Below are 23,460 nucleotides of genomic sequence, written 5' to 3' on the forward strand. Positions count from 1 at the left end.
TTTTAAGTCACCTTTGAAATTTTATCATAACCTATAATTGATTGGTTTAGTGAATCACATCTTAATTGAAAAAATATAATGTCTAAAAGCTATTTTAATTGGCCATTATACAGGCATTTAGCAGCTGAGCTGCTGTAGACACAGTGAAAATAAATAAATAAATGAATAAATAAGTTTATGGAAGATTTGCCAGATCTATCTGATGTCAGTGTTCTATTTCTGCACACAGAGTTGTGATCTGGGGCTCAAGGGGTAGTTAGAGAAAGACTAAAAACAGCACCTCTCATATGACAAATTTCAGTCCAGGAAAAAGTAGCTGATTTTTTACCCTACTTATTATACCCCACTGAATTTCCTTCATTCATTTACCCAGCTGCTGTTTCAAAAATAAGGTCTTCGGACAAAGTTTATTTTGGAGTTAGAATCATGAGTTCTTTACGAAAAATTAAAAGAGCATGCTTCATAAGGAAGTTTCTCTATCATTTTGGGGGTAACAGGATCTGAAAATCTATAAAAATATGCTTCGAAGTCTATTTTTAAAAAATCTGATTTCTCTCAATTTGGATGACAATTACAGCAGTACATACCTGTCAGAAGCCACTCAACTGCACATTAAAATGTTGAAATGTGTGTATTTATTATATGTAAGTTATGCTTTCATTTAAAAGAAGTATTAAGGAGAGTAAAAAAGCCCAGTTTACTTAGATCTGTCTTCCTTGGCTATTTTAATGTCTTATTACCCAAAATGAAAGGAATGGTGATTAAGAGAGCCACTGATCACTAGTGAAAAAACAGAAAATTAAAGGCTCTCTGCTACTTTATCTTTAAGAAGATTATTGTCATATAGTACTTTCTGTATTCATAGCATTCACTTTAAAAGGAACCAAACAAAAACGTATCAAATGAAAAATCCTTTCAAAGCCGAACATCCTGAAATTGTATAACTTTATGTCTTGCAGGAATTCAAAGAAAAGAGAAGGGTCAGGGTAGAGAACCCAGCCTGTTTATAATATATTTAACCAGCCAATTACACTGTTAGCCCACAATGACAAATTTCTCTCCGAATATTGCTTAGCTGTTCCTTGTTCATGGCACTAATTTTCTCTCATTTGGCACTATTTCATAAAGTTTTGTCAATCATAAGCATTTTTTTTAGAAGATTGAAATGACAAGTTAATAGTTCACTCTAAAAGAGACAAACAGAGGAAAAACAGCTGCAGTATTTAAACACTGAAGGAGAGCGTCAGCGTAATGAAGGAGCAAGCGGGCAATTAAAGAGAAGGAAATGCTCCTAGAGTAAAATTCTAACATTGGGGTTCTCTCATTTTTAAATCTATTGAGGATTGTTCAAACACATTTCTTTTGATCAATAAAAATACTTGTGGCTATTTGTATTCCCACTGAATGTCCCCAAACTGGCATCTGCAAGTTTAGCAAAGTTGAACACCAAGTAAGTTAAGGAAAACGCAGAATACTAGTGTATTTACCATCCCTATAAAACTTGGAACTCGGGGACAAAGACGATGTGGCTGCTAGAGTGAATTGCAAAGATAAAACAGAGTTAAAAGTATCTTAGAAGCATGCTAATGCAGAATTTTTCTACACCTCCCTCTAGACTACTTATTGTTTTTTCCCCCGCAATCTGGTGAGGAATGAAATAAGATATGAGAGTTGAACACCAATATTTTAAGTCTCTGAATTAGGAAGCTTCATATATCTAAAACAGATGTGAGGGAAAAAGATGTGTCTTCAGCAATACATTGCTAGAAACAGCTTGGCCTACCCTTAGCTTTTCTTGTTTATTCTGATCCTTTGAATTACCAGGCCTGTTCCTGATAGCATCAAATAAAAGACCTCCTCTGACTCTTGCTCTACGTTTTGCCCAGCCTTTCTACTAAATTATTTCTCTTGACATAATCCATGCTGTATTTACAAGGGTGTCACATTCTTCCTCTCATTTGATGGAGTGTGTGTGTGTGTGTGTGTCTGTGTGTCTGTGTGGTCTTACTTACAATTTGTTAGTAAGATACAATCTCTTGCTTCATTCTAGACTAAGATTGATATTCTCCCCTCAGTTCCACTGACTTTAGCTGCACTGAGTAAAAAGCCCTACCTATGTTTTGTTTCTATCTTTGCACATCTCTTTGAAAGGACTTTTCCAGTTTGTTAATAAGAGAATGAAGTCGCACAAGAATAGTGAAAACAAAGTTCATTCACACTCACTTTGGAAGCACAGGGAAGACGCATCAAATTGATGAGTAAGGAGAACAGGCTTAGCAAACAGCAAGGGTGTGGTCCAGTTGAGCAAGACAGATATTGGCTCTGAAATCTGATGTTGGGGACTCCAGGAATTCTCTCATCACAAGTTGGAAGCATAGAGAGAATGTGGCCCCCTTACCCCCACAGTGATGGGACATTCAGCTCTGTCATCTGCATTGGCACAGTAGCAGCAAGGCTTCTTCTCTGCAGTGAGGGAGAAGGGAACTAAGGACTGTGGTTAATTTCTATCATCTATTCATTTTAAGTAGAACCTTCAAAAGTAACACATTATGACATGAGCTAAAGTTTCCCATGGACTGCAGATGAAAGAATAAAGAACACTTACCTGGCACTTTACAAAGCTGAGAAATCTGAGGACAGATGAGTCTGAATGATGAGGCTTTCAATACACATTTTATATATATATATACATATAAAGGTACACACACACACATATATGGACACACACATATATATATACACACACACACATCCAGTTTTAACACAAACACATAAAGGAAACCTTTTCTCTTGAGAATGTCCTCTGTGCTAGCTTCCGTTCTAGGTGCTGGGGATAAAGAGATAGACATGACCATTGACTTCATGGAGCTTACAGGTTAGTAGGAGAGGCTGTTATTACAGAGCTGCTAATCCCCCTCCACCCCCCAGAAAAAGACATTACAGGCTTAAACTCAAATTTTACAAAAAGATAGGTGCTAATCCAATTGGAGATTTTTTGTTTTGTCTAAAAAGTGGAATGAGTTTATTTTTATTTTCAAAATTCAAATAGCATAATTATTTTTTCTGATTATGGAAGCAATGCATGCTCATTCATAAATATTTGATCATACCACATATATGACTCTCAAATTTTACAAAAAGATAGGTACTAATCCAATCAGAGATTTTGTTTTTGTTTTGTCTAAAAAGTGGAATGAGTTTATTTTTATTTTCAAAATTCAAATAGCATAATTATTTTTTTCTGATTATGGAAGCAATGCACGCTCATTCATAAATATTTGATCATACCACATATATGACTCTCTAACCTGCTTATGTTAATCAACAAGATTCAGAGCACATTTTTCAATGTCAAAATAGGCTTTATATCATCTCTAAAAAAAAATGGCTGCATGGTACTCCATTACATGAATGAACCATTTTACCTGGTTTTAAGTTCATTGTCTCCTTAAATAATAATTTTCCTATTTATTTCAAACTAAAGATAGTTCTTTTGATTTTACTGTATGATTTGAAAGCAAATTAGACAATATGTTTGAGAGCATCTGGTAACCTATAAACATGGTGCAAACTACTATTTTTTCTGTTTCTTTTCTGTTTCAAATATAGACCAATATTTCTGCCTCACACAAATCTTGAACAAATTCTGGCTCTACCAATCAAATAAATTTTTTGTTTTGTTTTTATCTCTCTGAAATATAGTCTCCTCATTTTCAAAATGGGGCTACTTACATTTCATGGTTCTCTCATATATTAGGACATCAATTCAGGTAAAATGTTTAGTCCTGTACCTTATAGTAAGCTGAACACATTAGATGTGTTCACTTCTGCCACTGCTCCATCTGTACTCCCAACATCTCTATTGTAATTCCCTCCCTCCTACTTGGTCTTTCCTCTTTGCCCAATCAGTTTATCTTCACTAAAGAAAACTTATTAATAAAGTGCTAATAAGAACTTTGTATGAATGTACTCAACTAGTCTTCCAACAGCCTTCGGGTAGGTACCATGATCATTATCATCATACAGGTAAGGAAGCTCAGAGAAATTAAGTAAATTCCCTAAGATCACCCTGCCTGTAGATGGTTCTCTACGATGGTGAAGACACTAGGAGAAGGGAAAGACATAGTTGAGACTAGAGAGGCAAGCAAGAGTGGAAGCACGTAAAGCACATTTTGCCTTGCAATATGAAACATGAGTTCAAAGAGCTCAGCTCCAGTACCACAGCAGACAATTGGACCCAAGTGCAAATAATCATCCCAAGTGGGGTGAATATGTAAGTCAGGTGGAGTATGGGATGGCTGAGACACATGGCTGTGTCACCAAGCTTTGAAGTGACCTGGCAATAGTGATAACACTACTTATTATTTATTGAACATATATACTAGGCACTGTTAGAGTTGGAGAGAAAGGTAAGATTGAATACCAGGACTGATCAGGATTGCAAAGCTCATCACCCCTCTGAATTAGCCCTATATGAACTACATGTGTAATTCTGAAACAGAAATGTCAATTTTGGTCTTTTCAATTTGAAATTCCAGCAAGAGAAGAGAAGAAACCAAGCCCTTGGTCATTATTGCTATACCCATCCTTGTCTTTGAATTCATACACCTTATTTAAAAGTATCTTCCAAATGTATCATTTGTCTCCAAACTCTTCAAGAAAGACAAATGCCAATATAATGCAGCCATATGTATCTGAGTAGCTTGATACATATAATAAGGGAAAGACATATATTACGACAGATGGCAGCATAAGGTAGAAAATTCCTTTACCACGTGATATCTTCTGCTTTGCTAATACATTAAAACCCAGTGAGAAATCTCTAAGGAGTGTGGTTTGATGGGTTGAGGTAGAGGAAAGCCCGACATAAATAGCTATTTGTATATGAGATCACATACCAAAGAGTTATTTTCACTAAGACTGAACTTGCTAACCACCAGCCCATCTGACAGCAGAATGGCGTAGACCCTTCATAATGCATGTGCATGAGTAGGGGTAGATGTCTCACGGGGGCCCCATGGTAATGCTGTTGATGTAGTTTCCGAGAAGGGTGATAATACTTTATCCTGGAGACAGCCTGAGTTACAGAAACACTGTTTTCCCACTTCACCCACCCTCATTATCATCAAGAGATGCCTTCATACTTGATTGTGTCTTAAGATGCTTGGCTAGCACTGGGATGAAAATTTTATAAACTATTATTTTTTAAAGGATGTACATAGCTGGCAGAAAAGCATCCCATTAATCTGAAATTTCTTCCTTGTAAAAATATTCTTAAAAAGATCAAAAAGATAATCTCACTCTGGTATAGAATGGTGGACTTCGTAATCCTGTTATTCCACACCCAGTATGCCTGACACCAAAGATGATCATGATTGCCAAGAAGATCCAGAAAGAGAAGTTATTATAGAAGGTATTTATTCAGTTATTCATTCAGCAATTCGAATATTCAGCAATTTGAATATGTCCTCTATGTAACAACTATGCTAAGACATGAATATACAGAGATGATTAGACCTTGTTTATGCTCTCAAAGAGTAGAAAGACAAACTGACAGTTATGATGCAATGTGATTACTTCTATAAGGAATGTGGATGCATAAGTGTGTGCACACGCCTGATAAGAATGACAAAGTTTATCTTAAAAAGCAAAGGATAAAAGGAGGTAAGGTCACACACTACAAACTTTGGGTTAGAATGAACCAACCTGCAGTACATCAGGACAAGGGAATTCGATAGAAGTATTTTAGGGCAGGTAAGAGGAAGGCATATGTCACAAAACAGCTAGTCATTTTGAGAAAATCATTTGCTCTAAAATGCGATGTGACCCAGGTGTAGCAGCTCATGTCTGTAATCTCAGCATGTTGGGAGGCCGAGATGGGAGGATGGTTTGAGCCCAGGAACTCAAGGCTGCAGTGAACTATGATTGCACCACTGCACTCCAGCCTGGATGACAGAGAAAGATCCATTCTTAAAAAATAACAATAATTTAAAAAACTAAAATAAAATTGACCGAGATGCTTCCTGAAAATAGAATAATCTTCATTAAAAATAGCACCTACTTCTCAGAATTGTGGACACAAGAAGATATGTCTAAGACCCCAGCAGAGGAACTGATGTGTATCCAGGACCAGTACCGTTTACTCCTCCTGCCTACCCAGGATCCTTAACCTACCGGGGCACTTGACTTCAGACTTGTAAAGATACATCTTTCTCCAAAGACAGCTAAGCTCTTCTTTTATGTAAAAGTCAAATTCTATCAACAAGAAATTCTTCCCAATCTTGTATTCTAGGTCAGCCTATATCACCAATTCACCATGCCCACCCAGAGAATTGCTGAGTTCCAGAAAACCACTCTTCCTGAAAATGTGAGCACCTTCCAATTTCCTATATGTTGGTTCTGTAAGCTCACTTCTTTTGTAATAGCTCACCATTCTATAAAATGTATGACACTCATGGGCCCTTTAGCTAAAGAAATATCCTCTGTAGTTTTTCTTTTTAAGAGAGTGCTGTAGACTGAATATTTATGCTGTCCTCAAAATTCATATTTTGAAACCTAATCCCCAATGTGATAGTATTAAGAGGCGAGGTCCATGGAGGTCATTATTGGAAAAGCATTTGAATTTAGAACCACAAGAGAAACACACTGAGGGTGGAGCCCTCCTGAATAGGATTAGTGCCATTATAAGGGAGGCCTGTAGGAGCTTGTTTTCTCCTTCCGCAGTGTGAGAAAGCAGCAGAAAGATGCCTTCTATGAACCGCAAGATGGCCCTCAACGTACCAAATTTGTCAGCACCTTGATTGGTTTCTCAGCCTGTAGAACTGTGAGAAACAGGTCAGGCGTGGTGGCTCACACCTGTAATCTTAGCACTTTGGGAGGCCTAGGCAGGTGATCACCTGAGGTCAGCAGTTCAAGACCAGCCTGACCAACATGATGAAACCCTGTCTACTAAAAATACAAAAATTGGCCAGACATGGTGGTGCATGCCTGTCATCCCAGCTACTCCTGAGGCTGAGGCAGGAGAATCCCTTGAACCTGGGAGGTGGGGGTTGTAGTGAGCAGAGATTGCACCACTGCACTCCCGCCTGGGTGACAGAGCAAGGCCCTGTCTGAAAAAAAAAACAAAAGCAACAACAACAACAAAAAAAACTGTGAGAAATAAGTTTTTGTTTCTAAGGTACCCACTCTGTGGCATTTTGCTGTGGCAGCCAAAATGGACCAAGGCAGATGGTTATTATCTCAGTAATATAATATATTAGTACTTACCTAGCCTATCTCAATTATTCCCAGGTATTGTTGTAGGATCTACTAGTATCTATTGGTATTAATCTATTTTTAAAATCTTATAATTACCTCTATTTTATTAATGAGGTAACAGATTCAGAGATAGAGAGGTCAAACCAGAATTAAAATTTATTTTCAACAGACCTCAAAGCCTGTGCTCACACCTTGTGCTGACTCTTGTGGCTCTAAGTCCCAAATGCTTTTTCAATCACTTGCCTGTTCTCTGGTTGATTCTTCTCATACCGTCCTGGCTACATAAGGTACCCAGGTATCTGCACTCATGTAACATATTTAGGAGGATGACCCAGTTTAATAGAAAGAGAGAAAGCAGAGAAATAGAAAAAGAGACAGAGAGACAAAGAGAAACAGAGGCAGGAGTGGAGGCACAGAAGGATTCAAACATGCCCTCACTCTTTACCATGGCTGAGAATGCTGCCATGTCATCAGAAAAGTTCTTGTCACGCTTAGGAAGTTAACGGGTCATTATTAAAAAGTATGCAATGTACCTCCCCACTTAGTATAATTCAGTTACTTAACTTTGCAGGTAACCTTTCTAAATCAATTTAGAAATCTGAGGAATTAGACATCCAAGGCCATAGGTTCTACTTTGGACTTCATGTAAGAAATGGAATCCAAAAAGTGCACTATATTACAGAAGAATGGGATTCCCTAATGAAATTCCATGAAGGAATCATCTGCCATTTTGTTTTGTTTTGTTTTAGAGTCAGGTTTTCACTCTGTCACCTAGGATGGCATACAGTGGAACAATCATAACTTCCTGTAACCTCCAATTCCTGGGCTCAAACAATACTCCCACCTCAGCCTCCCAAGCAGCTCAGATTAATACATGTGCCACCAGGCCTGGCTAATTTTTATTTTTATTTTTATTTTTGGTAAAGATGGGATCTTGCTATGTTGCCTAGGCTGGTCTTGAACTCCTGGGCTCATCAGTCTCCCCAACACTGGAATTACAGATGTGAGTCACTTCACCCAGCCATCACCCACAGTTTTTGTAAGATATGGAAGGCTAACAAATCCTTTGAGTATTGATCCCAAAATGTTATGAAGGGAAAGCTGGAGAGTGTCATGGAGGCAGAAGAAATTCCTAGAATCTTAGATTTTGGAGGGCCCTTAAACATCACCCAGCACATTATTAAAAACAGGAACTCCTCCATTCTGTTGTTACTAAGACAGTTTTCTATGAAACATCCAGGTATAGGGGAACCTATTGTCTCCCAAGACTGTGCATTTTACTTGCCTGGCAGCAGTAATATTGTTAAAAAAATTCTTACTTCTATTGAGATTAATTTTGCCTTTCCAGTTCCAACCTTGTCTAGAATGAGTGTGACCCATCTTGTTCATGACACATCCCACAAGACAAGGTGGGGCATCCTCTTTCCTCCCCTGACTCTCAGAGTCTTCTCTGGAGTGAGGTGGTAAGTTCTCTACTTTTTTCAGGTAGAAACAATTCATTAGAGAGTCAAAGTAGGAGAGAAGGGATCAGTAAATAAACTAGGCAAGATATTACTCAACGATTTTTTTTTTTGACACGGAGTCTCGCACTGTCACCCAGGCTGGAGTGCAGTGATACGATCTCAGCTCACTGCAACCTCTGCCTCCTGGGTTCAAGCGATTCTCCTGCCTCAGCCTCCCAAGTAGCTGGGATGACAGGTGTTTGCCACCATGCTCAGCTAATGTTTTGTATTTTTAGTAGAGATGGGGTTTCACCATGTTGGCCAGGCTGGTCCCAAACTCCTGACCTGGTGACCTGCCTGCCTCCACCTCCCAAAGTGCTGGGATTACCAGGGTGAGCCACCACGCCTTGCCTACTCAACAAATCTTAAAGGAAGAGAAAGTGAGCACAGGTCCTTTGCAATTGTTTGGATGCAGAGGCAGCTCAAATACCTAAAAAGATTCGTGGACCCTGAGATAGATGTCACTTGGAGGTGATTTTCCTCAAAGGTCTATAGCGATGAGACTAATGGGTGTTCAGCATAACCACAGCGCTGACAAGGATAATGTCTGTCCTGCAAGCATATGCACTTAAACCCTTTTCTTCCTGCATCTTTCTGGTCTTCCATGCATAAATGTTTAATTCTCCATTTTGCCATCAATCAGCTCACTGCTTTGGGAAGGGTCTGTGGATAAAAGCTGCCCAGTGCGGTCTGTCCAGACCTCCAAATGCACTCAAGGCACCCAAAGAGCTTCTAAAGAGCTGATGTCAGGACAGGGCCGTTGATTTATGATTCCCTAGGACATTCTGACACCCTTGCATGGATGGGAGAGATAAGAGCCTAGCCAAGGCTGCCAGAAAGCCTTGTTTTAGAAGAATGAGGTCAAGGTCAGAAGCATGTGGGAAATCCACTGAAAAAACACAAGGCACAGAGACTCCTCCGTGGGCAGTGAGCTGGCTCGCTAAGGCCAGGAAGAGAGGGAAAGATCATTTTGTAGTACTATAAGGCAAACAAGAGACAAGACAGATCGTGTTAAAGGGGACACTGGATATAAGAGAAAGAACTACAGATAGCTAGGGCAGGAGGCACTTGGGGATTTATTCTGAAATGCATGATTTCATTTATCAGAAGAAGGACTGTTTTGTGTCACCAGCCTTTGGTTCTGCTCATTTGTGTGTGTGTGTGTGGGGGGTCGTCTACTTAATGCAGGAGCACCTCAAATTACAGAGCTTTTTGATAAATTGCAATCCTATGTTTTCAATAGCTGGAAACAATATTCTCTGTGGCAGATATCCTCATCAAGGAAGGTCTCTCTGGGCTCTCATAAAGAGTTTACCTCAATCCAGGTACGGTGCTGTAATTGATGATCATCTCCAAGAGGAGGAACAAGAATGTCTCCTCATTTTTACCTCCCAGAAAGTCTCTCCATGCTTCCTTGGCCTAGGCTTTGGCACTTTCATCCTGGATGACCAAAAAGGGCCTCTGGTTGGCCTCCCTGACATCTATCCTAGTCTCCTCATAGCTACTCTCTAAAATCAGTGATCCTCAAAGGTTAGCAAAGTATGGAGGGTGACAGTCAGAAGGGGAGGAAGGTTAGCACTCAATGAATATTCTTTAAAATTCACGTGAATCAGTTTTTTTAAAACTGCATATACACACACGCATAAGAATGAAAGTACATGATATATTTATATTAATAGGTATATATGTTTGTTGATATAGATATATAAATATAGTATCTATCTATCAATCTATCTATCCTATTGCTCTATTGCTTTGTGTGACTTTAGCTGCTTCTCCCCATTATTCTCAGGCATCTATGAAAAGAAAGGTTCTGTTCATGGGATATCTTAAAGATCACTGCTGCATGTGAGCTTCTAGACCTCACATGTAGCTTCTAGAACTTGTCTGTTTGAGATTACTGATTTGTCAGAGAGAGAGACAATGTTGACCTTTAATGTTATTGTCAGAGGACTGGAACTACAAGCAGTATATCTTCATTTATTCATTCACCATTCATTTAGTCATTCACCATTTATTCATTCATTCATTTATTCATTCACCATTAAACTTACAGTACATTACATTCACCATTAAATTTACATTATTTATTTACAAGTTAGGCACTGTACAAGGTGTTGGAGTTACAACGATCAAAACAAGGTAGTATATTCTCTGAAGAGTTCCTAGTTTATAGGAAAATATAGGCAGTGAGACAGGCAAATTTCAATACAAGGGAATAATTTTTATAGCAGAGGAGTGCTTAAGATACTTACTATGACCCCCCACAAAAAAGCAAAACATACTCTTTTATATGTGCCACATGAGATATGAAAAAGCAAAGACTGATTTTAGGGAGTAGTTTTGCTCAAAGAAAACAGGGCCTCAACAAAAAAAAATTCACCGCAGCAGAAAGTTGAAACAAAACAACTGAGTGTGTTTTTATTTTGCTTTTGAATTTTTTTTTAATTTCAGCTGTTTGGTTTTAAATCTCAGCTGAACCTTCCATGGGTCTATAGGATTTGGGAAGGGGAGAAGTGAAATTAGTTCTAGACTAGTTTGTGAAGGTGGCTTAGTTATCTACGCTTTGTGTGTTCTGAGCTTCCGTATCCAGAGGCACAGAGTAGTAAGAAAATCTCTTAAGAACACACAACAAGTAATATAAAGACTAAGGGGGAACAAATTGATCATTTTTACTTTACCCTCAAGTCCCACTGAGGGGAAAGGTAAGGCTCATTTCCGGCGAATCCCATAGAATAAGTGAGGAAAGCCATGCAGGACACAGCCCCCAAGCCTTTCTGTTAACCTGCTGCTTCTGGCTTGGGAAGAACCCCTGGCTCCCAACCACAGGGGCTGAAAGCATGAGGAGACAGGTGCTGTCTCACACATAAGCGGAAGACACCAGTGAATTCCTTATGGGGTTCCTAATCTGCAAGGGTTTGGGGAAACAGGGCAGTTAGAAGCCAGAAAGAATCAGAATCATGGGAGGAAGAAACAGCTAAGCTCCAGGCTGTTTCACTACCTCTGAGTGGCAGCTGTAATACACCCCTCTTGCCAGTCAAGTTGCAAAGGTGGAATGGCAGATGGAAAGCCCATCATCACATACTGCAATGCATACAAGTTTCGTAACCAGTAGCCCAGCTTTCTCTCCATAAGGATGGCGTCTTACCCTGTCTGATTTAAAAGACCTTGATGATGCTCTCTCCCACTCACCCTTGATGAGTTCAGCCTCATTCTTTGTCTGATTCACTTTGTTGGCTGAAGCAGGAGACAGCCCAGTCCTCCCTTCCCAGCCTCTCATGCCCTAGCAGCAGGAACCAGCTAAGAAAGGAGAAATCCTGATCCCAGCGGGGCTCTGGTGTAGCTGAGCCAACACCCACACAGCTGCTAGACAGGAAACACATCAGACAAGCTCTCTCTTCCCAAGGGAATTTGGCTCACCAGCGGCAGGATTCTCAGGCAAAAAAACGCGGAGACAAGGATCAGACATTTGGCTGCGTCAGGCTCCCTTACTGCCTTACATATATTTAGATGATTTCTGAGTCTTTCTAAAGCTACCACTGAGAGCCTTCGGTTCTTATTGTTATAAACAGAACGTCTGAGATTCTAGTAGCAACACAGAGATAGAAATGCAAAATTAAGCTTTCGAGGAGCAATACAGTATTGTTGGGAGACACACAGACACTCTGAGCACAAAATAAAAAATACATTGGCTACCAAGTCTATGAGATTATTCTCAGCTTCCCTAGTAATCAAATGCATGAAAATCAAAATATGATATGATACGATTCTCAGTTGACAAATATGAATGAATGAATGAATAAGTGAATGAATGAAAGCATGTATGCATGCAGAAGAAACATAATACCTAGTGCTGGTAAGGGTGTGGGGAAACAGGCACTCTCATGTACCATACAGGAGCAAAAATTATTCTACCCAAGTATGTTAATAACATGGTTGAAAAATTTAAAAATGCACAGAATGCCTATAGAACCCCTAGGGATTTATATTAAATAAATAATGCCATGTGTTATGGCACACACCTGTAATTCCAGCACCTTGGGAGGCTAAGATAAGCAGATCACTTAAGCTCAGGAGTTTGAGAACAGCCTGGGCAACATGGCAAAACCCCATCTCAACCAAAAAAAAAAAAAAAAATTTAGCTGGGCATGGTGGTATGCCCCTGTGGTTCCAGCTACTAGGGAGGCTGAGATGGGAGGATCACTTGAACCCGGGAGGTCGAGGCTGCAGTGAGCTGAGATTGCACCACTGCACTCCAGCCTGGATGACAGAGTGAGACACTATCTCAAAAAAACCTGTCAATTCACCCATCCAGCCATCCACCCATTCGTCCATCAATCCTTGGATAAATATATAGAGATAGGCAGTTTTTTATTATCTCATAATCTTTTCAAATTCTGAAAATGTTGAAAAAGAAACTTTAGGTTAATAATGGTACATTCCTATGATGTAATATTATTCAGGCTTTACAATGACAATGATGTTCTATCTGTATTTATTAATAGATCTTTGGAATTTAGTAGCAGGTAAATAAGTGGTTGTTTTCCATTTACCACCTTTTCTCAATAAAATGTTCTTTTTCTTTTTATTTTATTAGTCATGCTTTTATTTATGTTATATAAATAAGACATATTTATTTCAAATTCTAAAACATATTGAAAAGCATTTAAAAAATCATTCGTGATTCAACATCATTCGGAATGGAGTGTACTGTATATTTCTGTTGCACATCTTTTCACAATTTTCTTATGCAGTTACAAGAATATATTATGCATATTTTCTGTGATTGGAACAGATTATACATGTTTTGTACTCTAATTTTCTGATGAGTAATACATTATTAATATCTCTATATATTAATAAATACAGATGGATAGTAATGTTTAATCATACCTGAACCTCATAGTCTCCCTGAGGGTAAGTATGATTAAATACTATTATTCTTATTTATACGTAACCATATACAAGGCAGGCAATTTCATTATTTCACTTCACATAATTAAAAATTTTAAAATGAAAAAAACCTACCAACCAATAGAAAGCAATTCAAATTATTTATTAGAATTTCTTATTAATATGGGGAAAGACGAAATAAAAGATGTGATGAAGAAAACACACTATGAAAACTTTATACATAGCATAATATTAATTGTGAAAAAAATGCATACAAACTCACACACAAAAAGAGATAGAGGGAAAAAACAATCTACCAAAAGATTTATAGATGTTTTTTCAAGCTGAGAAATTTCAGGTGATTTCGAGTTCTACATTCATGTTTTTTCAACTTCAATATGAGAATAAGTTCATTTTATATTCAGAAAAATTTATAATGAGAAAATGTGATAATCCATGTAGTATTAATTTTAAGATTATAAACACACAAATGTGTAAATAAATAAATAAATACAAAATAAATATTTTCTCTTATTTAACTTTACTGAGGCCCAAGGTAGTCTGGTTTTGTCTCTAGTTTAGAAGATAAAGAGGGACGGGGGTGGTGGAGCCCTATATTCCTGGGATTTTATAGGAAGAGATCTGATGATATTTGCATGCTTACTTGACATAGGATCTTACTCTTGGCTGCACATTAAAATCACTTGGGGGACTTTTAAGGGTTACAGAATCCTAGGCTACATTCCCAAGAAATTCTGATTTAATTCGTTAAAAGTGGAACCCAGGCATCAGTATTTACAAAAAAAAAATTCCTTTTTTCTACTGATGTGTAGCCAGGGCTGAAAATAATTAGGTTATATCATTTAAATTCCCAAGGCTCCCTCCAAAAACTGTGTCAAATATCTCAGAGTGTCAGTGTTAGAAAGTCTTCCTCTTGAAACCTGCCGCATACATATATGTTCAATGGCTTGAGCTGAGCCTCCTTCTAAACTGGACGGTATTGTAAATGTGCTTACATTTCCCTGCTTATTCTGCTTTTTAAGTTTCTGACAATGCTCCGAAGGACAACTGGAGATGTTACAATTTTAATCCATTAAATAATTTCCTTAATATTAATTATTTGATTAGTGCTTAAAAAGACTTGGAAATTTTTACGGCTCTTGATGCTTTATATATTACTTTCTGAAGTGTTTCTATGGATTTCCATCATCCCCAATACATAGCAATTTACCAATTCACCACAAATTTAATATATCCAATTACTCCATCTCTCTGGTTTTGGTTATCATAGCAGATGAAAACATTCCATTTCTTTCCTCATTTCTGATTACTCTTTACTCTTTCTTACTTGGGACTTTTTTTTTTACTAATATATCTATTAAAATCTGAGATAATTTTTACTATAAATATGTACAAATTCTACTGGTATCAAATATCATCACCCGCACTGATGATTTTAAGCATTTTATTCTGAATCCAACTTTTAAATTTTGTTTTTATTTTACTATAGAGAAAATTTTCATTTTATGAGAGAAAAACTCTTAGATTTTTTCCTTTAAGGTTTTTTATCACTTTGAAACTTACAAGCACTTCCTCATCCAAAGATCTCATAAAGTGTTAATTCTATTCTAACTTTTTATGCTTAGATTATTTTATTATAAGCCCTTTATCCATCAGGGGTTTATATTGGTAGATAAATGCAAAGGATTTATTGTAATTTTCATTCCCTCAAAGATTAGCTAATTTTACAAATGCCATTTATAAAATGGCCCCTTCCATTCAATTACACAATGATAGTTTGAAGCCATATGGGTAAGTGCACATATGGATTTTCCCTCTCTCATTGACCCAGCCATCTAATTTCATGTAAGTACCACACTGTGTTAGTTTTGGCTACTCTATAATATCTTTTTATATCCAAAAGATCTAGCATCCTCTAATTCTTTAAAATATTACTTGACTTGTAATATTCAAACATGTTTTAGAAAAATTTTAATTTGTTTCAGGTATTTCCTTTTGATGATTTATTTAGGATTAGATAAAATATATGCATTAACTTGTGGACAAAAGATATGTTAAGCATATGGCTTTTTTGGATACATTGAAATTTCATAATACAGCCATCCCTTAGGGATCAAAGCAAAGGGTGATTACCTTGTGTCTCTGGTCAGGACTTAATTTTGATACTGTCCTCTTAGGACTGAATTTCCTGCCTATCAGAGGTCTAGGTTTGAGAGCTATAGAGAAAATATTGAGATTTTTATTCATAGTTTCTGACAGTGACATTAAACAAACAGAGCAATAAGAAATCAATGGCTGGCATTGGATTTAGATTTCACCTGCAAGCAAAGCAAGCAGTGCCGTGCTGAGCTCGGGTGCATAATCTTGCCTTGTGAACAAGAAAAGGGCCGAGGTGATTATGCAGGGCAGTCACGTTGGGGTGCCAGCCTTTTTCCTTGCTCAGTTCAAATATTATTGCTTTTAAATGTCAGTATATAACCATTGTAAGCATGTATATTTATGAAAACTCCTCTTTCCTAAGACATTTCAGGTAGACATCTTGGAGCAAGGTATATATTTAAATTTTAATCAGAACTGCAGGCACAGCAATGCTTCTGTTAGAGCTGAATTCTTTAGAGGAAGAGCACTAACTTTACTTGAGATCCCACAGTAGGTGTGGAACTGTCCTGGGCACTGCATATATGCAGCCTCATGTGATCCTCACAGATGCTTTGTGATGGAGGGATGTTTCTAAAGCCCCATTTTATAGGTGATGAAATTAAGTTTTAGCCTCTAGTGTTGAAGTGGGCCTTGAGGGTCACTCAGGTCACTGCCTTCACCATTCCCTGCTCACCAGCATCTTTAATATCTTGATAAAGTTCTAACAAAGTCTTTCTGAACACTTAGGTCTGAATGCCTCTGAGGGTGAGCAACTCATTCCTTTCCTTCCAAAGATGGTTCAGTTCATTATTGGATGCCTCTGATCTAACCATTTAAAAACAAACAAACAAAACTACAGTCTTTATATCAAACTAGATCCCATTTCCTTAAATTTCTGAACTTAAACACTATTTCAGCCTTCTGAAGTCAGGGAAAAAGGCCTATCTCTCTGCCCAGAAACAACTCAAAGGAATTAGAGGGGCTTATTCCCACTGAGTGGTAAACTCTCCATTTCATGAGATGCAGAAACTGCCACCAGCCCTGGTACTTCAACAGTTAGGAACCCAAAGTGAAGTGTCTGATTTTCAAGGCACCATGTTCTTCATAACTGGAAATATCAAGGAAATCTGGTTTTCCCCTAAATGTCAAAGCTTTCACAAAAAAAATCTCTGGACCTCACGCTTATCCCAGGGAAAGTGATGCCTCCACATCCATTTCTAACATCAGTGTGTTCCAGGAACAAGTTTCCTTTTAATTTCCTGGAGAGCTGAGGGAAGCCAGAAAGTTGTTTTTTAATCTCCTTTGCAACCTCTCAGGTTAGAGCTTTTCTATGTCTTGTTTGATATACATTTCAGTCCCTTGGAGAACGAAAGGATGATGTGTCTCTTAGCTGGTCTTCCTGAAATCTTATTTCTCTTGCCTCTGCTTGAAATAGGAGCTACAGACCAGGCCATTCAAGGTCATGCCCTCTAATGATGGCCTGGAATAACAGCATCAGGGTAAGGGATTTGATATCAGGAACTATCAACATCCAATCAGTACAAAAGTATTTTCTGAGTCCAGCTAACCATGTACTTTTCTTTGCAGCTGCAACTTCATTAAATGGAGGACTGAGTTTCCAACAAGAAAAGGTCAACATTTCCATTTGGGCATTCAAACATCTCCAAGATGGGCTTGAAGCTTTAGTGTTCTATTGATTCAGCCATCTCCATGCTGAGCACAGAACTTTGCCCAGAATAGATGGGCTGTGTCAATCAAAGCCCACCAGTGGGGTTATTTATTTTCAGTTTGATTCACAGGGCTATCAAATATCGAAACTGAAGGAGATCAAGGTAATTGTACTTCAGTTTAAATTTGCAAATGGAACTTTCACAACTGATACATTACTGAAGCTGAAATTCATGAGAAACTCTTTGAAATGACAAGGTTTTCTCCTGCTTTCATTTGGCCTGTGTTTACCAAACACTCACTAAATACAAAAACACTAAATTAGGGTCTCCAGAGGAGAAGCTGACTCTAAATTAAAAAAAAAAATGTAATTACGTGCCAAGTGACATGGAAATATAAAGTACTGCTGATCAAGGAGGGAGTCTATGATTTGGAACATAACTGAAAATTGGTGGCATTTGTTCATGCAGATATAGAAAATACTCTCCTGATAGAGGGAACAGTCCATCTGGTAGTTAAGTTTACCTAAATTATGTAAGTAATTAATGATAGCAACTTCTCAAATGAATGTCATACGTTTTGTGAAATTTTATGGCATTTAACTGCATCCTGAAAATGTTTTTATTTAAAAAGCTTATTTTTATATTACATATTTATATTTATTATCTTAACAACATGAACTATAATAAAGGTGTTATTAATTTTTAAAAACCTTGCATTATTGGAGTTATGTTTTTCCTTCAAGTGTTCTCCTTCTCATCTTCATAAGGTATATTTTGCCCCCTAAATGGATTGCACTGTCTCCCCAACACACACTTAAATCATGTCAGTCTTTCTGATGTTTTGAAAAGTCTTTGTTCTTCAAGTTTGCCTTTGTCCCTCCACTTCCAGATAATTTGCTTTAATTTTAAACATATTTAATTAGCAGTGAATGTATCAGGTCAACATTAAATAACATGATTCAATCACCTATAATATCAACCACATCCAAAGGCTATGTATAAACCTTTTAATAAAATGTTTTCCCTTTACTTTGTAAATGTGTTCAGATCTCTAGCATTTCTACATCCTTAGCATCTTAATTAATTCATTTTATACAATTTATATTTTACTTTTTAAAATTTTCTTACAAGAGATGAGGGGTCAATTTCTTTTCTTTTTCTTTCTTTTTTCTGTGAGATGGAGTCTTGCTCTATAGCCCAGAGTGGAGTGCAGTGGCACCATCTAGGCTGACTGCAAGTTCCACCTCTGGGGTTCACACCCTTCTCCTGCCTCAGCCTCCCGAGTAGCTGGGACTACAGGCACCCACCATCACGTCTGGCTAATTTTTTGTATTTTTAGTAGAGACGGGGTTTTACTGTGTTGGCCAGGATGGTCTCGATCTCCTGACCTCGTGATCCACCTGCCTCAGCCTCCCAAAGTGCTGGGATTACAGGCGTGAGCCACCGCGCCCAGCCAACGAGGGGTCAATTTCTATCTCTTTAAGTTTTTTTATTTTCTTTAAACTTTTCTTTATAGATGGCCAGTGTATTAGTCTGTTGTCATGCTGCTAATAAAGACATACCTGAGACTGGGTAATTTATAGAGAAAAAGAGGCTTAATGAACTCATAGTGGCTGGGAGACCTCACAATCATGGTGGAAGGCGAGGAGGAGCAAAGCCAGGTCTCACATGGCGGGAGGCAAGGAGAGAATGACAGCCAAGTGAAAGGGGATTCCCCTTATAAAACCATCAGATCTTATGAGACTTATCACTACCATGAGAACAGTACAAGGGAAAACCACCCCCATGATTCAATTATCTCCCACCAGGCCCCTCCTGCAACACATGGGAATTATGGGAGCTACAATTCAAGATGAGATTTGGGTGGGGACACAGCCAAACCATATCAGCCAATTCTGGCTTTCCTGACCCAGGATTTAATACTTATGTTTATACAAATTATATATAAATAATCTCTTCACATGATAATATTCATGAATACAGAATGAATCTATAAGGCAAATGTGATGAAGTACTAAATCTACATATGTAAAAATCCTGTAGCAGGAGGAGGAGAAAAACCTGAATAAAGCAATTCATTTTGTCCTTATGGCGTTGCTATGGAACACGAGTTACAGTGGCAACTATTTCTTCCATCCTTTATGTTTGGAAATTGACCATGTCTAATGGAATCACCAGCTCTTCCTGAGTGGTCCCCAAGGTGATGCATCAGGTATGTGCAGGAGCAGATCCCATGCCCTTTCCTGTACCTCCTCATTCTGAAGACTTCTGCTCACTCTCCAACAGTGACTCTTAAGGAGTCGGTCATGTCAAGATGATGACTCCATGCATGCCAGTCCTATGCTGTCCTCTGTCTTCCTTTCTTCCTTTCCTGGAATGTGCCCTTTTCTGAAATCTACGAAGGCTCACTGAGATATGCCTCTCAATGTTTGTGAAGATTGTGCTAAAAATCTAATTAGTGTAGAAGAGAATACTACCTATGTTTCTCCTCCTGGGGACATAGGCCACACTAACTTGCCTCTACAGAAACAAGCCAGGTTCCTCAACCCAGTTCTTTCCCACCCAAGATCACATCTTCCCAGGATGACTGACAGCTGGAGTGCTCATTCCCCTTCAGAAACGCTCTCCCCCATCCCCAGCACCACCTGCAGGAGAGTGGTCTGGTTAGGACCCCCAGTAGATGCTATCACGTACACAGACACTAGCTCACTTCTCAAAAATGAGTTGTTCAATCTCATCTCCCCACATGTGGGATGACTTCAGCCTTATCCGCATTTGGCTATAACAGTTCTCTTTACTATCTCCTCATTAATGGCTTCAGAAAATCTCCATGTCAATTACGTCTTTATCATGACCAAAGAGAAAGCAAAGTTGCACTGTAAACTGAACCACTAACTTCACCCTCTCCTTCCATGACCCTCCCAGCTAATCTTCCTTCTTGATTACTTTCTTTTCATGGCCTCGTAGCCTTAGCACATGCAAATATCAACCAACCATCATTGTCTGAGCACCTGTGCTGAACCTGGGCCTGAGAAGGCACTATGAATAGAACTAACTTTAAAAAGAGGGGTGAGAGGAAAGGTTCTGAAGGGAGATGCAAGAGAAAAAGAATGGCACATTTTCATTGGAGAGATGTGAGAAGATGTCATCGGGGTGGTATCATGGAAGTCAGATCTCAAACAATGGTGATAACCTGAGAATAAACAAATATTTATTTTTCAGGTATATGAAAAGAATAGTCTCGGTTTGTACAACACTAATGTAATTTTATTTCCTTTTATCTCTTTTGTGATTCCCTGGAGCTCATTCCATTAATTCTTACCTAGAGACTCTGGCATACTTTCTTTCTCTGTGTCTTAGTATTTATCTTTCTAAGAACTCCCACATACCACATGGGAATATAAATTGATGTGAATGTCTTACAAAGCAATTTGGCATTAATGGATCCAGAGTCTTAAAAATGTTCATACAAGGTTATTATGAGCCAGCAATTCCACTCCCAGAAATCTATCCAAATGAAATAACCTAAGACATAGGGGAAAATAAATATGTATAAATATATTTGCAAGAATATGCTTATTACACCATAGCTTCTCACTTTGTTGATATGATAAAAAACTAAATTGATAATAAAAGAAATGATTAAATGATAACACATCCATATGATGGACTGTTAGGCAGCCATTAAAATGGTGCTTATGGAAAACTGGTAACATAAAAAATACATATAATATATTGTTAGGAGAAAAATTCAAGCTATGGAATTATGCATAGAATATGATCATGGCCATGCAGAACTTGCATATCAAATGGATTATGAGCAAAAAAAGTAGAATGGGAGGGAAGAGGAGAAAGTGTCACAGCAGGATTGTTGTGTGGGTTGTTTTCACCCTTTGTTTCCACTTTACTAAATATTCTAGATACTCTTGAACAGACAGGTTCCTTTTCAAGGTATAATATTTGCAGTAATTTTTTGAAAGTACCTTGTAATCCAAAAGTGCATCTTCTTCCTCACCAGGGTGATGTATTGTGCAAAGGAACCCAGCTCAGATGTCTCCATTTGCTTTCCTTCATTATCGGACTTGTATCCTAATAAATTTCATGTTTGAGGCTTCTCAGCCCACACTGGCAGCATCAGTCACAGAGGTCAACTCACTTCCTCCCACCCTCTTCAGGGTTATTTCCACCCAGCCCACCCACAGAGCACAGAGAGTCTGGCTATTTTAATATACAATAAACATACATATTTCTGTCACTTGTCTGGTGTTCTTGATCTGCATTGGACTAAAAAGAAAATTCCAGTTGGCTCAATAAAAATTTTGTTCTTACTTCAGCTGTCACTTCTATCCTATCTGCCTCTCTCTTCTGGTATGCCCTGTGGTTTAATGTTGCACAAGCACCAATATCAGGTCTTTTTGAAAGGTCTCTGTACCATGCACTGCAAGCCCCTGTTATCCCAGCAAAGTTTTGCTGCAAGATTTCCATAAACTCCTACAATCCTTATGTAGCAATGCCAGTGCATTCTTTCCACTGCAGATGGTGTATTAGTCCGTTCCCATGTGGCTAATAAAGACATACCAGAGACTAGGTAATTTATAAAGGAAAGGTTTAATTGACTCACAGTTTGACAGGGCTGAGGCCTCAAGAAACTTATAATTATGGCAGAAGGGGAAGCAAGCATGTCCACCTTCACATCGTGGCTGCAAGAAGTGCAGGGCAAAAAGGGTAAAAACCCCGTATAAAGCCATCAGATCTTGTGAGAACTCATTCACTATCATGAGAACAGCAACATAGGGGCAACCACCCCCATGATTCAATTACCTCCCACTGGGTCCCTCCCATGACACATGGGGATTATGGGAACTGTAATCCAAGACGAGATTTGGGTGGGGACACAGCCCAACCATATCAGATGGCCTCTCTTTGTCACCTTTTACAATGATTGCTTCTGTAGGTCTTCCACTGCCAATACCTCTCATTTGCCAATACCTCTCATTTACTCCTGACCAACCAGCATAAGATTTAGTCCATTATTAAGTGAGATTGCCCCAAAGTCTCTTCCACAGTTCAGGATGCTGCTCGCACATATATAATCTGATGCTGGGCTCTTTCTTGTCTCTTTCTCTCTATTTGCCCTCCCTCTGAAAGAACTTCAGGATGGGCAATTTTACTTTATACACATAAGAAATTAACAAACATGTATTGAGTGCCTACCACATGAAAAGTATAGTGACAGCAGCAGGAAAAATTCAGAGGAAGAAAAATGGGTGTCCTTGTTCTCAGAGTTTGAACAGTCTAGTAAGAGAGAAAAGGAGGTTTTGGTTAGCACCTAAACAAAAGGCATAGGATGTTATGTGATGCAAAGGAAGAAAGGGAGGAAAGGAACCAGCATTTATTAAGCCCCTCCCTTATGCTGAGCACATAAAAGTCTGCCACAGAGAAATAAAGCCGAAGATTTGAAAGAACTCAATAATTTTCTAGTTGTGTGCATAGAAGACTTCATAAAATCTCTTTCACATGTTTTGTGGGATCAGTTGTGATGTTGGAACCTTTATTGTTTCTAATTGTGCTTATTTGAATCTTCTTTCAATTTTTTCTTTGTTAGTCTAGCTAGTGGTCTTTTCTTTTTTCTTTTTTTCTCCTTCCTACTCCTCTTCTTCTTCCTCCTCCTCCTTCCCCTCCTCCTCCTTCCCCTCCTCCTCCTCCCCTTCTTCTTCCTCTTCTTCTTCTTCCTCTTCTTCTTCCTCTTCTTCTTCTTCTCCTTCTCCTTCTTTCTCCTCCTCCTTCTCCTTCTCCTTCTCCTTCTTCTTCTTCTTCTTCCTCTTCTTCTTCTTCTCCTCCTCCTTCCCCTCCTCCTCCTTCCCCTCCTCCTCCTCCCCTTCTTCTTCCTCTTCTTCTTCTTCCTCTTCTTCTTCCTCTTCTTCTTCTTCTCCTTCTCCTTCTTTCTCCTCCTCCTTCTCCTTCTCCTTCTCCTTCTC

The 23,460-nt window shown here is 38.5% G+C and overlaps 2 long non-coding RNA genes across 3 annotated transcripts in view; one reads left to right on the forward strand and one right to left on the reverse strand.

Annotated features, from left to right (window-relative positions):
- Positions 1–12,072, reverse strand: part of LOC124903779 (uncharacterized) — a 27,818-nt gene extending 15,746 nt beyond the window's left edge. The window contains exon 1 of one of the 2 annotated variants that reach the window (XR_007065223.1): positions 11,952–12,072. This is a non-coding gene — a long non-coding RNA (uncharacterized LOC124903779). Of the gene's footprint in view, positions 1–11,907 lie in introns of both variants that reach the window. The other variant, XR_007065222.1, reaches the window with a different exon arrangement.
- Positions 6,334–17,816, forward strand: LOC105371313 (uncharacterized). The gene is made up of 3 exons (XR_933677.2): positions 6,334–6,367; positions 10,003–10,084; positions 17,400–17,816. It is a non-coding gene; the product is annotated as an uncharacterized LOC105371313 (long non-coding RNA).
- The last annotated feature ends 5,644 nt before the right edge of the window (positions 17,817–23,460 follow it).

This window comes from Homo sapiens, chromosome 16 (assembly GCF_000001405.40).
Source record: "Homo sapiens chromosome 16, GRCh38.p14 Primary Assembly".
Taxonomy (NCBI): domain Eukaryota; kingdom Metazoa; phylum Chordata; class Mammalia; order Primates; family Hominidae; genus Homo; species Homo sapiens.